Source organism: Homo sapiens, chromosome X, assembly GCF_000001405.40.
Source record: "Homo sapiens chromosome X, GRCh38.p14 Primary Assembly".
Taxonomy (NCBI): domain Eukaryota; kingdom Metazoa; phylum Chordata; class Mammalia; order Primates; family Hominidae; genus Homo; species Homo sapiens.
The window spans coordinates 14,518,958-14,534,719 of NC_000023.11; the positions used below are offsets into that span (position 1 = coordinate 14,518,958).

Sequence of the window (15,762 nt, forward strand, 5' to 3'; positions counted from 1 at the left end):
GTCGAGATTGCGCCACTGCACTCCAGCCTGGGCAACAGAGCCAGACTCGGTCTCAAAAAAAAAAAAAAAAAAAAAAAGGAGATCAGGTAATAGATTACCATTCAGTAGGATTCAGAAGTATTGGTGATTTTTTGTGTCTTATGTTATCTGTGGCTACAAGGCAATTTATTTTATTATTATATATAATTTATATGTATTATACACATTTGTGTAAGTGTATAATATTTCATCATATGCCATTTTCAAAATGCAATGAATATTTCAATTAGTGGTGAACTTAATCAAAAATGAAGCTTAAAAAGAAGTCTGAGAGATAAATCCCAATCCAAGAAATGAGTAATGGGAACAGATGTAAATATTCAGTTTCTCAAATGAGTATTTAAAAGTTAGAGGTGACATCCTCAGTCTACTTTATATAGGTTTCACACAGCTTTTTCACATTTCAACTATAGTCAGATCCCATTATTCTAATGTCATGTTTATCATGAAACCTTCCAAGGCAGCATGTACCTAGGAAGCTTACACACTGCCCAGGCCTATGGGTTACTTGGCAGCCCAGTGGCTATATTTTCATTCTGGCTTATATGTCAGGTTATTAGGTATTATAGAATTAGTATGTCACATTCCTGATTAATAACATATTTGAGGCTCTAACAAGATTAATTTTATAAACCTGCAAGGCTAAGAACCAGGATTTAGACTGTGAAGAATACGTGGATGAATGCCACATTTTGAAACGTCTTGGGTATCAGTAAGCTGATCTCCCTAGATACTGTAACCTAGAGCCCCACTTTCATAATATTTATTTTCCTTATTTTCACATATAGATAGGTCTTAAGTCCCTACAAAGAAGAAATAATGCTTCATATTACTTTGTCTAATCTTCAAAGAAATAACAGTATTTTGCATAAAGTAAATGCCTAACTAATATTCGTTGACTGGTTGATTGGTATAGGACTGTTGGGTACACATGCACTAATGAGTTAGCATCTATATTATGCTTCAAAATAATAAAGTCATCATTGTCTATAATGAATGTAATTCCATGTCAGCTACAAAATGCTAACTTACTTGCAAATATAAAAATATTGTTCAACTTCAAATAATTCACTCTTTCCAAATTCAGCTTCTTTTCAGCATTCTCGGAATCCAAGGCAATCCAGAAGAGGCATTTTATGGAATGGGGGTTAGATACTCATGAAGTCAATAACAAAAGTTTCAAATGTGAGAACTCCCCAAAATACATTTTCAGCGAAGGTATCATGATAACGAAGGTGATGTCAAGGGATTTTTCACATCAGTGGCAGAACAAAACCTAGAAGATTCTAAGACAAGTGCTACTGCAACAATCAATCTCATTGTTATTCATTATTATCATCTTTAGAATTGTAGCAAAGGAGAAATCTTTCTAATGCATCCAAGTGGAATTACATTTTATTTATTCTCCAAATTACTGTTTGTCCTGTTAATGTTTATGAAAAGAAACGCTGCATTTCTCACATTAGCCAACAGGGAAGCAATCACTTGCCATGAATCATCACTGGAAATATAAATTGTTTCAAGCATTTGACACATTTATGGCCTGTGAACATTGAACACTAATAAGCAGAACTCCAGTCCTAAAATAATTTTTCTGACTTCTAAACAATTTAATCCAGAAATGTTCTGGACAGACATCCAATTGCCTGCATGGAGCCTGGAAGAGCAGTGATTTCCCATTTAGGCTTCATGTCCTTGAAGCTTGTCTCTCTGCATGATGGGCATCTTTATGCCTTCTGCAAAATAAAAAGGAGAGAAGCAAGCTGGACTTTTGAAAATTAGAGAGAGTAAATGCAGAGTGACATCAGCTCTAAGTGTTCTTGCTCTATGGACATTGCTGGCCATTGAAAACAGCTTTAAATTCATCAGTACCAATGCTTGTAGCAGCCTGCACAAATCAATGTACAGAAACTATGCTTTGTTTTCGTCATTTTTTATTACTATGCTTCTAACAACTTATCTAATCCAACAGAGTGGGCTCTTTAATATGCCTTTGATTTCCAATATAACCAATGCAAGGAAATAAAGGACATATGGGCCAATCACTGGCCATGAAAGTCAAGAGCCATTGTGGACTCTGCAGTGGTAGCTCAGAGGTCTCACTTTGAGAGAGAGACTCTCTACCTGATCCCTGAGATATTTGTGATGCTTAATTTAAGGTGTCACCTTGACTGGATTAAGAAATACCTAGAGAATTGGTAAAGCATTATTTGTGGGTGTGTCTGTGAGGGAGGGTGTTTCCAGAGGAGATTGGCATATGAGTCAGTGGAGTGAGTGGGAAAAATCCATCCTCAATGTGGTGGGCACCATTCCATAGGCTGGGGTCCTGGATAGGACAAAAAGGCAGAGGAAAGGCAACTTCATTTCTCTCTCTCTCTCTCCCGAAGATAGGACACACTTCTCCTTTCATTGAACATCAGGGTTCCAGGCTCTCCATCCTTCGGACTCCAAGACTTGCATCAGTGCCCTCTCCCAGGTTCTTAGGCCTTTAATTTCAGATTGAGAATTACACCATTTGCTTCCTTGGTTCTGAGGTTTTTGGACATGGACTGAGCCATCCACCAGCATCAGGGTGTCCAGCTTGCAGATGGTCCAGCTTGCAGATGGTCACAGGACTTAGTCTCCATAAGTGCATGAGCCATTACCCCAATAAATCTCTGTCATATATCTATACAGGCATACCTCAGAGATATTGTAGATTTGGTTCCAGACCATTGCAATAAAGTGAATATAATAAAAAAGTGAGTCATACAAATTTTTTGGTTTCCCAGTGCATATAAAAGTTATGTTTAGTGTATTAAGGTGTGCAATATTATGTCTAAAAATAATGCACATACCTTAATTTAAAAAATACATTATTGCTAAAAAATGCTAACTATCATCTGAGCCTTCAGTGAATTGTAATCTTTTTTCTGGTAAAGAGTCTTGCCTCTATGTTGATGGCTGCTGACTAAACAGGGTGGTGGTTGCTGAAGGTTGGGTTGGCTGTGACAGTTTCTTAAAATAAGACAATATTGAAGTTTGCCACATAGATCGACTCCTCTTTTCATGAAATATTTCTCTATAGGGTGCAATGATGTTTGATAACATTTTGCCCCCAGTAGAACTTCTTTCAAAATTGAAGTAAATCCTCTCAAACCCTGCTGCTGCTTTATCAACTAAGTTTATGGAATATCCTGAATCCTTTGTTGTCATTTCAACAGTGTTCACAGCATCTTCACCAGGAGTTGATTCTAACTCAAGAAACCACTTGCTTTGCTTATCCATAAGTAACAACTCCTCATACGTTTAAGTTTTGTCATGGGTTTGCAGCAATTCAGTGACATCTTCAGGATCCACTTCTAATTCTAGTTCTCTTGCTATTTTCACCACATCTGCAGTTACTTCCTCCAGTGAAGTCTGGAACCCCTCTCAAAGTCATCCATGATGGTTGGCATCAACTTCTTCCAAACTCTTGTTGACATTTTGACATCCTCTCATGAATCACAAATGTTCTTAATGGTATCTAGAATGGTGAATCCTTTCCAGAAGGTTTTCGATTTACTTTTCCCAGCTCCATTAGAGGAATCACTGTCTATGGCAGCTATAGATTTACAAAATGTATTTCTTAAATAATAAGACTTGAAAGTCAAAATTATTCCTTGATCTGTGGACTGCAGAATGGATGTTGTGTTAGCAGGCATGAGAAAAACATTAATCTCCTTTTACATCTCCATCAGAGGTCTTGGGTGACCAGAACCCTTGGGTGCATTGTCAATGAGCAGTAATATTTTGAAAGGAATATTTTTTCAGAGCAGTAGGTCTCAAGAGTGGACCTAAATGTTCAGATTAGCTGTCATCCAGCCTTTGTTGTTCCATTTATAAAGCAGATGCACAGTAGAGTTTGCATACTTTTTAAGGACCCTCGGATTTTAAGAATGGTAAATGGGCATTGTCTTCAACTGAAAGTCACCAGCTGCATTACCTCCTAACGAAAGAGTCAACCTGTCCTTTGAAGCACTGAAGCCAGGCATTGACTTCTCTCTAGCTATGAAAGTCCTAGATGGCATCTACTTCCAATAGAAGGCTGTTTCATCTACATTGAAAATCTGTTGTTTACGCTAACCCCCTTCATCAATGATCTTAGTCAGATCTTCTTAATAACTCGTTGTAGCTTCTACATCAGGACTTACTCGAGCACGTTGCATTTTTATGTTATGGAGGTGGCTTCTTTACTGAAAACTCATGAACCAACCTCTGTCAGCTTCAAACTTTTCTTCTGCAGCTTCCTCACCTCTTTCAGCCTTATAGAATTGAAAAGAGGTGTTGGGGGCCTTGCTCTGGATTGGACTTTGGCTTAAGGGTATGTTGTGACTGCTTTGATCTCCAATCCAGGCCACTTGAGCTTTCTCCATATCAGCGATAACGCAGTTTCACTTTCTTAACATTTATGTGTTCCCAGAAGTAGCACTTTTATTTTTCTTCACGAACTTTTCCTTTGCATTCATGACTTGGCTGTCTGTGCAAGAGGCCTAACTTTTGGCCTATCTCAGCTTTCCATATGCTTTCCTCATTATGCCTAATCATTTCTAGCTTGATTTCAAGTGAGAGACATATGACTCTTCCTTTCATTTGAATACTTGAAGGCCATTGTAGGGTTATTAGTTGTCCTCATTTCAATATTGTTGTGTCTCAGGGAATAGGGAGGCCCCAAAACAGGGAGAGAAATGAGAATGGCCAGTCAGTAGAGTAGTCGGAACACATACAACATTGATCGATTAAGTTTGCCATCCTATACGGGTGTGGTTCATGGTGCCCCCAAACAATTACAGTAGTAACATCAAGGATCACCATTCACAGGTCACCATAATAGATATAATAATGAAAAAGTTTGAAAGATTGTGAGAATGTTGTCATTTCAACAATGTTCATAACATCCTTAGCAGCTGTAGATTCCATATCAAGAAACCACTTTCTTTGCTTGTCCGTAAGAAGCAACTCATCATCCATTCAAGTTTTATCATGAGATTGCAGCAATTCAGTCACATAATGTGACACAAAGACACAAAGTGAGCACATGCTGTTGGAAAAATGGTGCCAACAGACTTGCTCAATGCAGGATTACCATAAATCTTCAGTTTGTAAAAAATGCAATATCTGTGAAACAATAAAGCAAATTGTAATAAAACAAGGTATGCCTATATATACATATCCTATTGGTTCTGTCTCTCTGGAGAACTCTAATACAATATTATAGGTAGTTAAGAAATGGCAATCGTTAATATTGATATCACAAGCCATATGGCTTAGTAAATATCATAATGGCCATGCATCCTCATGCCAGAGGTCTTCTCATCTAGAAATCTATTTTAATCTATGGCCCTATAGTGAGAAGAGAGTCTATTTGAGACAAATCTCTCATAAAATTCAGGAGGTGCATTTTATCAAGGTGAAATTGTCTTTATTGTTCTCTGGGAAAGCATCTCTAACAACGAAAGATTTGGTAAAAACAACTTCTTGCCTTCTCTAATTTGCCTCAAACCTCTATTTGGTGGGTGTCTATTGTAAATTAATAGTCTTTTCTTAACTTCTTCATATTTTCAAGTGGAGGAAAGAATGTCTGTACTTGAGGAGGACGTTTTTTCTGTAGGAAACCCGTTCAGTAAAAGTCCTGACACAGGATATTGATATATTGGATATCTTTTGACTCTTTCTTTGAGGAAATTGACTCTGAGACTCTTAATGTGGGCATTCCATTCAACATATTTGTGTGTGTGTGTGTGTGTGTGTGTATCTTAATATAATAGTAACCAAAGTTTAATGTAATGGAATCACAAAAACATAATTATTAAAGTAGTTGTGGGCATATAGTAGGCTTTCAGTGACTTAAAAAATAACAGCAATCACACGTAATGAGAAATAATTTTGTTGATGGGTAGTAAATATAAAAAGTATGACTGTCACTTAATCATATAGACCTGAGAAAATTGATAAACTTACACAAACTATAGATTCCTCATTAAAATATATAGATATCAATTATTTTTCTGCCATATAATGTGGGTATTTTGAAAACTATAAAGCATTATGTATATGTTAGAGTTCTTAAGGTTTATCAGTATCAGTAAATGATACTGATGTTAAGAAAAGTGTTTTTATTTTTTATATCTATTTTTTAAAGTTTAATATGTAGCATGATATAGACCAAATATTGTGTGTTGGTCCTTATGACATAGGATGGGTCACAATCTTTTCATTTCTCTTGTAAAAAGAGTACAGAATAAGGTTTCCACATACCTCAACCAGTTACAGTTTGGTAAGTTAGAGGCATAGGAGAATTAGACTTCAGTTTCCATTGCATTGCAAATAAAACCTTTTCAAAGCTCCTAAATCTTACTGTCCTTGAAAGTGGAATTGTCCAATGAACAAAGTTAAAACATGAATTTTAACAGTAAGTAGATGAGATTAAATAAATTAAGTAAATGAGATTAAGACTCTAAAAACACATCCTCAGGTCTGATTTCACGTGATTTTCAAGAGTATTCTACATAGAAATATTTTATGTAACATATGTGTTTATGTAATTATGTAACACTTTATGTTATATAAATTTTATATATTATGAGAATGACACTGAGAGGGATTAAATGACTTGTCCAGTCACATAACCAATGAGTGTTAGAGGTAGAACTCGAATCAAGGATATTGAATTAATAATCTCTTACTTTGAATTTAATTTTATGCTTTAGACTGCTGCGCCACTGAACTTGGTTTCCTTTCAAATAATCACAGATCTTAACTTGTTAATTCCCTAACAAGTAGTTTTTTGAAAGAACTATTTGTGGACTATACATATGTACTTATATTATTTTGTTTAAGCCACAAATTTCTGGTATATATTTAAAATTATATACTAGTTATCATCAATACCATTATGATGATTGTCATTATCATTGAATGTATGGGGATATAATGGTGGACCAAAGCATGTACTGTCTCTGTCCATTGCAAAGCTTGCTACATAAGCAAACAGTCATACACATGTATACATACAATGATGACGAGCTCCTTGAGTCAGAGTTGGAGAGCACTATGAAGGCCTGTAATAGAATTGTTAGAGTAATGCAGGTCAGGAAAGGCCTTCCAGAGATTTGAAAAATAGGCTGGTGTTAACCAGACAAAGATGGGGGACATGATATACTTCATGAACAATACGGTAAGCATTAGGGAGTAAGAAAAAAGACCAATATGGCTACAGGGGAAGAAATGAGATGATTAGTGGATGAGATGAGGAACAATGTAGGCATGGGCCAAACCATGTGGAACCTTTAGGTCATTGAGTAGTTTCCTTGTTCTACACAAATATCAATGGAGAACCATAGTATTAACCAGGGGCTGTGACATAATCAGATTCTGATTCTGAACAAATCACTCTGGTTTCAGCATACAGGATGAGGTAGTAGAAGACCAGCTGTTGGTTCAGGTAGATTAGTAAGAGGATGGCTGCAGCAGTACAGGCAAGAGATAAAGATATCTCAACTGGGGTCATGGAGGTTGAGATGGAGGGAAGTGAGAAGATTTAGGAGAAAAAAATCAATAGGGCTTGGTGAAGAACTAGATATAGTGGATGATGGAGATGATGCCTTGGCCTTTGGTTGGTAACAATGAAATAGACACAGTAGAATAGGAGTAGGAGTTGGAGGAATTATCAGAAGTTCGGTTTTGACATGAAGAGTTTAAGCAGCTTTTGAGACATACATTAGGAATTGTTTAGAAAGCAGTTGGATGTATAGGTCTGGGTAGAAATATACATTTCTGTGTCATGTACATAAAATGATAATGGAAATTATATTACCATAATATTTTCTAAGCGAGTGTACTGCAAGAAGAGGAGACAGCCTAGAATATAGCCTTTAGGAAATCCAACTTTTATAGGCCAGGTAGAGGAGGATATGCCTGCCAAGAAGACAGAATAGGAGGTAATCCAGGAGTGCACTGTGTCACAGGGTCAATAGAGGGAAGTGTTTCCAGGAGGAAGAAAAGGCCAATGACATTAGGTACCATGGAAATGTCAAGTAAGATGAGAACAGAAAAATGTCTTTTGGACTTAGTTACAAGAAATTCACTGGCAGACTTAGTGAGAGCTGTTTCTGTGGATTGATAGGGCTGGAATCCAAATTTAGGAGAGCTGAGAAATCAAATGAGGAGGCTAAACTAGATCCTCTCTAATGTCCCTTACAACTCTACAATAATATAATGCTGTGATTTCATGCTGCTGGCCTGAGTCTCCTTTGTCACAGATTTCCTTACTCATCCTATTCCTGGTTAATAACACAACTCTTGTTAAAAGAAATGATTCGGCTGGGCGCGGTGGCTCACGCCTGTAATCCCAGCACTATGGGAGGCTGAGGTGGGCGAATCACAAGGTCAAGAGATCAAGACCATTCTGGCCAACATGGTGAAACCCTGTCTCTATTAAAAATACAAAAATTAGCTGGGTATGGTGGCATGTGATTGTAGTCCCAGCTACTCAGGAGGCTGAGACAGGAGAATCGCTTGAACCCGGGAGGTGGAGGTTGCAGTGAGCTGAGATGACGCCACTGCACTCCAGCCCGGTGACAGAGTGAGACTCCATCTCGGGAAAAAAAAAAAAAGAGAAATGATTTACAAAGACTATATTATTTAAGCATCGTTACAACCTTAAATTTGAGAGAAATAATTTTCTTCTATCTTTATACCTAATTTTCTTTTGGAAAGAATCTTGAACACAAAAAAATCTGTGCTATTTTTCCATGTAGAACCAATTGAAGAAATATTTCCAGGAATTGATTTTATATATTTTTTTGGGTCAGGACAGCAGGGATAAAATCAGGTCTAGAGTTTCCATGTGGATGAATTTGGAAGTGAACAGATTTGAAGCTGCAGTCCAGGGATGTCTCACACTACACCATACTGTTTTTCTTTTAAATTGAATCATTTTCTCTAGGCTTTGAAAGTTAAGAAAACATATTTGAAGAATTGATTTTGTATGTAAATAGAATGCTTGGGCACTACTGCATTTCATCTAAAAAGAGATTCCTGTATTTTCACTGTCTTACTGGGATAGACATCTTATGAAAGGGCATATAGACTCTTGCTACTCAAAGTGTGAACTGTGGACAAGCAGCATCAACTTCAGCTAGGAACTTCTTAGAAATGCAGAATCTCAGGCCCCACCCCAGACCTACTGGATCATAATCTGCATTTCAATAAGATCCTCTGGTGATTTATATTAACATTAAAAGGTAAAAAGAACTTGCCATCTTTTTTCTCTGAATCTACTTCTTAAAAACATAGAATTCATTGTTACTCTACTATGATATTTAAACTGATCCAAAGTTAGTCATTTACGGAGTAAAAATTAATCATATTATTTTGTTTTAAAATTAAGACCTCCAGTAAAGCACATAGGTGACTAACAAGGAATATTCCACAAAAAGTAGGTTACTCTCCTAGCTTATGGTAGGACATGCATTTTTCATTCCCCCTTCCCAGAAGCTGCTAATTATCCGCATTGGACTATCTACCCTTCCTCTTTTTTATTAATAATAATATTTGTAATTTTGATTTGAAATAGCAGGGTTACTCGTCAGACTTTTGTACAGATTTATGAACTTCCACTATTTTCAGTCCCTTTAGCCAATTTAGGAGAATAGCATATGCACTTTATTACATGACTGTTCCTAGTGATTAACATCTGGAATGGGCAGATGAACTAAACTCCCAGTTGCACTTTTCCTTGCTCCATTTCTAACATGGAGCCCTGCTCTAACCTTTAACCATGGCAAGAAAAGATTGCTACTGCCCCCTGCCGGCCCATTGTCTCATTTCCTTTTCTACAAATCTGTGACTTGCGGATGCCCAAGGATTTTGAGCCACTGAAGAAAGCTCAGTTGGAAGGGGCTTTCCCTAGTACAGAGGTAGAGAGATCCTTTGGGACTAGGCGGCTAAAATCAAATGAAAACATTAAAAAGGCGAGGAAGGCATAAAGGACTTCTAAATTAAATTATCGATCTTCATGAACCTTCTTCTGCACGCGGGCTTCTCTGTGCCAAGGAAATGTTCCCTTCTCTTCGGCACAGGACTCCTCTTTGCCTCCGGCTTGCACTGACAAAGAGTGAACTGTCCACACCCTTATTATAATTTCAGTACTCTGAATCCTGTTCTCTGTTTCCCCCAATTTCGTTTTCCCACGATTAAACCTTATTCCCTTCCCTTTTCTGCTTCAAATTCCCGTCCCGCCCACCCACCGACAGCCTAGCATTTCCAGGAGCTCAGACCCCACTTCCCTCACCCTCTCCGTCTCCCGACCTCTCTTCTCCTCTTGCTGTCATCGTACCCCCTTCAGTATCCCCTCGCTGAACGGCCAGTCACTCTTTGCCTTCGAACAGCAGGCACGTCCCCTCTTGAATGCTTTTCCCCGACCCCCGCCCCAAGCAACTGAAAAAGGAAACATGCGCACTTCAGAGCTTGGAGCTGTCCGAGTGCTGAAATTTATAGGCTGGGTAAGATCACGTCTCCGTCTCATTCTATAGCCCTCATTCCAGCACAGGATCTCAGCAATTTTTCCCTCTTCCCCCCACCCACTCCAGCGCGCAGAGTCCTTTCTTCTCTCTCATTTACAACTTCTTTTTAAAAGAAAACATTTTCTAGAAAAAGGGCTTTGCTAAACAGAAAAGATATAAAACAAAAGCCACAGCTATCTAGCATGGCATTGTCACCAACTCCCTTTGCATGGTGATGCGATTAAGGTAGCAGCATTTTTATTATTCAGGAAAAGCAGCTGGGGGATTCATCAGTTCTGAGGCTTTGTCTTTCTGGGTTAACTGATGGTCCCAAGCCTCGGTTTGACCTGACCATGATGCCCAGGACTGGCACTTTTTCTTTTTTCTCAGCAAACTGTACAAAACCAAATCTCTTTTTGATTTTCAAGGAAACTAGGTTCCTGCCAAATTTTGAATCTGGACAATAAACAGACACTTTGTCCTAGCATCTTTCTGGAATCATTTCGGGATATTTTCCACAAGCAACACAGAAACAGGAATGAACCGGCAGCTAGTGAACATTTTGACAGCCTTGTTTGCATTTTTCTTAGAGACAAACCACTTCAGGTAGGTGAAACGACTTTGCATGTTGATATTTAAATTGTTTAAAAGAGAATGTGTCATGTAATTGTGTATTTATCTGTGCTCTGGACTATATTATTTTAATTTTATAGAGGAAAGTTAGATATCTTTTGTTCATTTAAAACGCCTAATAATTGTGGGAGGGTGGTAAATTTTTCACAAAAGCAAGTTTTATGATGCATAGCCGCACTCTATGCAATTCAACACACATTTTCACAGCCAACGTGATATTAAGGTAGTCTGATGAGTTGCATGCTCTTTACATTTCTATATAAGGGTAATTATTTTTCTGAAAGTAATTTAAAGAGATTATTGGGTGCAGTGTTTTTCATATAAGATGATTGTATTAATTTGGCAGGAGCATGCTCATTTTAGATAAAATATAAAAGATCCCTAATTCTCAGCCAACTTGGGACTTCTGTTATATTTCAGAAACTAGAAGCATACTATGAGGACTACAATTCAGGAATTTTCTTGAAATATCAAAAATTTCTTTTTACTACTATATTCTACTATTCAATCTGTTTGGAAATGGATTGCCTACCAAAATTTAGTTAATATGACATAATTGTATTTATGTACATATGAGAAGTGGAGCATGCATAATTTTAAAAAGTGAGAAATTACTATTTTCATGCTTGCATTTTCTACATGGTTTACGAATAGTTGCCAAATCAATTGATACCTCAAAATATCAAATCATTACCAGTAAGTGAAATAGTCATCTAATAACAGAGAGTGGAAGACTGAGCAGAGACAGGAGATGCTCTTACAACAAAGTATAGGACTCTAAATTTAATTTTCATTAAATTTTATGGCATTTTTTCACAGAACCAAGATAAATGGAACACATAGTAATAATGCTATGAATACTGGGAAAACCCACTATGTTCCTTTCAGGTTTACACCTCCTACTATGATTAAGAAAAAATATAGGCTGGTTTTTATTAGAATCATCATCATCATCATCATCCTCACCACCACCACCATCATAATCAAATAATACTTGATTAATCAGATGAATCTGCATATGAGAATGTGAGTATTTATGCATGCTCATATCAATTTTTAACTCCTACAAAATATTTATATCATCTTTGCACTTATTTTGAATACCCCTTCTTTGAAAAGCTGGCAAGAATGTGGTATTTTCTTAGTGATAGAATTCATAAGACACTATTTGTTAAACTATTGAAAACAAAGCTTATAAAATACATACTTTAGGGAAGAAATTTCAGTTAACCACTATGTATTGTGAAATAATTAATTTTGCTACAAACCAAATATGCTATGTTTAATAAGCTCTTTATTACTTTTAACAGGAAAATGAAAATCTGAGAAATTTTTCACCAACTTTCAGTGTTTTGGTGATAAAAAGTCAAAATGATTTAGAAGTGTGTTTTCATCAATATTTTTTAGAGAGTCAACAATTTAAATGCTTATATAAGCATTTAATATATAAGCATATAAATAACTGATAAAATAATAGAAGTCATATACATGCTCATTGTTGACCTATTTTAAAAAGAAATGAAATGTCCAAATGAAGGTTCTCTTTTAGATATCACATTGAAAAATATTAATAGTTGATAGTTGGATTAGAACTAGCAGATGGGAAAAATAAGCAATGAAATAATAAGTTTGTTCTGCCCATCTTATTATATATTTCTTATAAAAGGTAGATGACTTATATTTAGGGCCGAAATGCTGAAACAATTTTTTTAAGTCAGATAGAAATGATTTTAAGACAATCACATGAATTTAAAAAAATATCATCTCATTTCTCTGAATAGTTTTAACTATATATACATAAAATCTACAACCTAAAACTAAATACATTGTCTGTTCTCAAACATCTTATGGTTAAAGTTTGGAAACCTGGGTGACGCGACTCAGGATTTATAGTTCTCATCATTTAAAGTTAACTTTAGAACATGTACAAGTTCAGAAGTTGGCCAAAGAGTTTGGATTTTTCTAGTTTTCTTCATACTAACATATCAAATATCTTTACCAAAATGTAAAGTTAAAAATGCAGTGAGCGTTAGCTCTCAAGGGATGCAAATGAAATTGTTGCTAAAAGAGTTAATGATGTGTTTAGGACGGCTTTCTGCAAAGACCATGACTCCAGGTCTGGAAAACAACCTTCACAGACCCTATCTCCTTCAGATTTCTTGGACAAGTTAATGGGAAGGACATCAGGATATGATGCAAGAATCAGGCCAAATTTTAAAGGTAGGTTCCACTTAAACTTACGTTAAGCCTTTGAGAAATCTTCTAGATGTTTGAATAGTTAACTGAAAAACATTTTCAGGGCTTTTAATTATAAAATGAAAATGACAAGTATAGTGTTCATTTTATTTTGGTATTCTTTTGCGTTAGTTACTGATATTTTCATTTTACCTGTCACTTCCCACATTTGAAAACTTTCCTTGTTTGTGTTCTATTTCACAAATAAAACTAGTGTCATAAATTATGGCCACAGTCCTTATTTTTTCGTAAGTGGGAGTGTGGCTGAAAGTGAATACAAGAGCAAGTGATAGACTTGACTTGCTTGAATATCTACCAGGATGCATGCAAGATTCAGTGGTTACTCCAAAATATTTGGTTTTGATTTTAAATACCTACATCAAAGTAGAGTTTAAATCTCTATAAAATATGCCACTTTACATACTTTCAGGCCTCTTTAATTTTTAGACTTCGTAAGAAGAGGTTCTAATTTTTTGTTCCTTTTTGTTTAAGCATTCTCATTGTTTATTTGAAATTGTTTATTTGAAATCAACAAAGATCACAGAATTTTAAAGTGCACATGTCAAAGATGGTGGATACTTTCTTTGTTCAATTAGAAGCAAACCAATATTTTTTGTTTTTATTTGTTGAACATTACAAAAATATACTTAATAGTCTGCAGAAATGCTTTTTAAATATATTTAGTTTATTTTTATTCTGAATCAGAAAAAAAGAATAAGAATCAATTACTAATAACTGAATCATGTTGATGCTTTAATTTTTAAATACATAGTTTAAGTGATGTTGTCTTTTTCTTGTAATGAAATTTAACATAATGCATTGTGAAGTGTTTATAACATTTTATAAAAGGAGAAACCTATAATGTTCTGGATATTATGTAGCAATTCATGCATTGCTTACTTTTGTTTATTAGCAATTTAATGGCACACTTTTCTTCAGTGTTGATTTTTATTATTGGCAAATATAAGCATGAAAACTAAATTTTAAATTCATTTCTTCTTTAAATGTTACACCTCTGAATATACCCAGGTATGGGCATATTTTATAAAGAAATATGTCAGAATTTTGGTGAAATAGTATTTTTTAAGTATCTCCAAGAGAGATAACTGAACTACATTCAGAGATAAATTTTTCTGAAAAAAAAAAAAAGATGGTCATGTTCATCCCATTTCTTAATTTTGTGGTCATTGCTTTGGAAGTCAATATTTGAAATAAAATCTTGTGAGTAACAAACTGAGAACCAGCTTTCAATGGGATTGCTCATTCATATATTTATCCACTAAGTCATTGAACAACTTTTGAGTCTGGACTATCTGCAAAATACTAACTGTTGGGTGCTTTGTAAAATTGGGAGATGAAACAGTTTAGGTGCTTCTATCAAAAATTTTAGTGGAGGGAGGAGATGTTACATGAATACTTTTACTATTAGATGGAAATAGGAAAGTACCATTAGGAAATACAGGTAAATCACTACAGGATTCCAAGAAATGGAAAGATAATTTCCTATTAAGATATTAATGGAAAGCTTTATAGAGAAGGTCCAGAGATGGAAAATTGTTTCAAGTTTACAAGCATCTTCTTTCATAGCTGTTATTCATTTCTTTCTAGAAATACTTTTTCAAAAGGGCAGGAAAGTACAAAGAGTAATAAAACACACCCATGTTGACATTGCTACTTTAAGTGACCACACAAGAATGAGCCATCATTTCCACATCCAATTTTTTCCTGGTTCTTCCGGGGATATCACCTTTGGGAAATGATATTTATCATGGTTCCAAAGGATAAATAAATGAGGAGAATGTCAGGTTCAGCAAAGTGTGGCCATGTTTTTTTTTTTTTTTGATCTATCTACTACTTTAAAGTCTAAGTACAGGATATTTTAATGACTTATAAAAAAGAAATGGGGTGGATATCACAGAAGACTCTAACATTAGTGGGATTCATTGAGTTTTATCTCCCTCTCCCTTTAACTCTCCAATTCAATGAACACTGCTACCTTTTCATAAAATTTATTTACATAGACCATTTATATCAGATCAATTATCTGACATCTCCCAAAGTTCTCTTCATTTGGGGGAGCTTGATTATTCCTGGATTTAAAACACTCCCCATTATTTTAGACTACAATAATTTTTTCTTGATGTTCCCATGGAATTTTATATGTCTAATATGATCCTTCTACATATGTATATTTTATTGATCCATTCTCACACCACATCTGAGAGGGCAGGGAAGTACCTTATTTTATATATACATACATACATAAAATATTGGTAGTGTAGGGAAAATAAGTGATCCTTTTCTCCAGGATAAGGAAATTAGAACCAAGACA

General features: G+C 35.6%; 1 protein-coding gene across 7 annotated transcripts in view; it reads left to right on the plus strand.

Moving 5' to 3' along the window:
- The window catches only part of GLRA2 (glycine receptor alpha 2), a 283,034-nt gene that overhangs the window by 70,179 nt on the left and 197,093 nt on the right, over positions 1-15,762 (plus strand). For 2 of the 7 annotated variants that reach the window (NM_001118885.2, XM_017029427.2), the window contains exons 1-3: positions 10,341-10,562; positions 10,991-11,168; positions 13,282-13,415. In NM_001118885.2, the coding sequence (NP_001112357.1) occupies positions 11,101-11,168; positions 13,282-13,415 (202 nt within the window). In that variant the 5' untranslated portion in view covers positions 10,341-10,562; positions 10,991-11,100. The other 5 variants (NM_002063.4, NM_001118886.2, NM_001171942.2 and 2 more) reach the window with 4 other exon arrangements.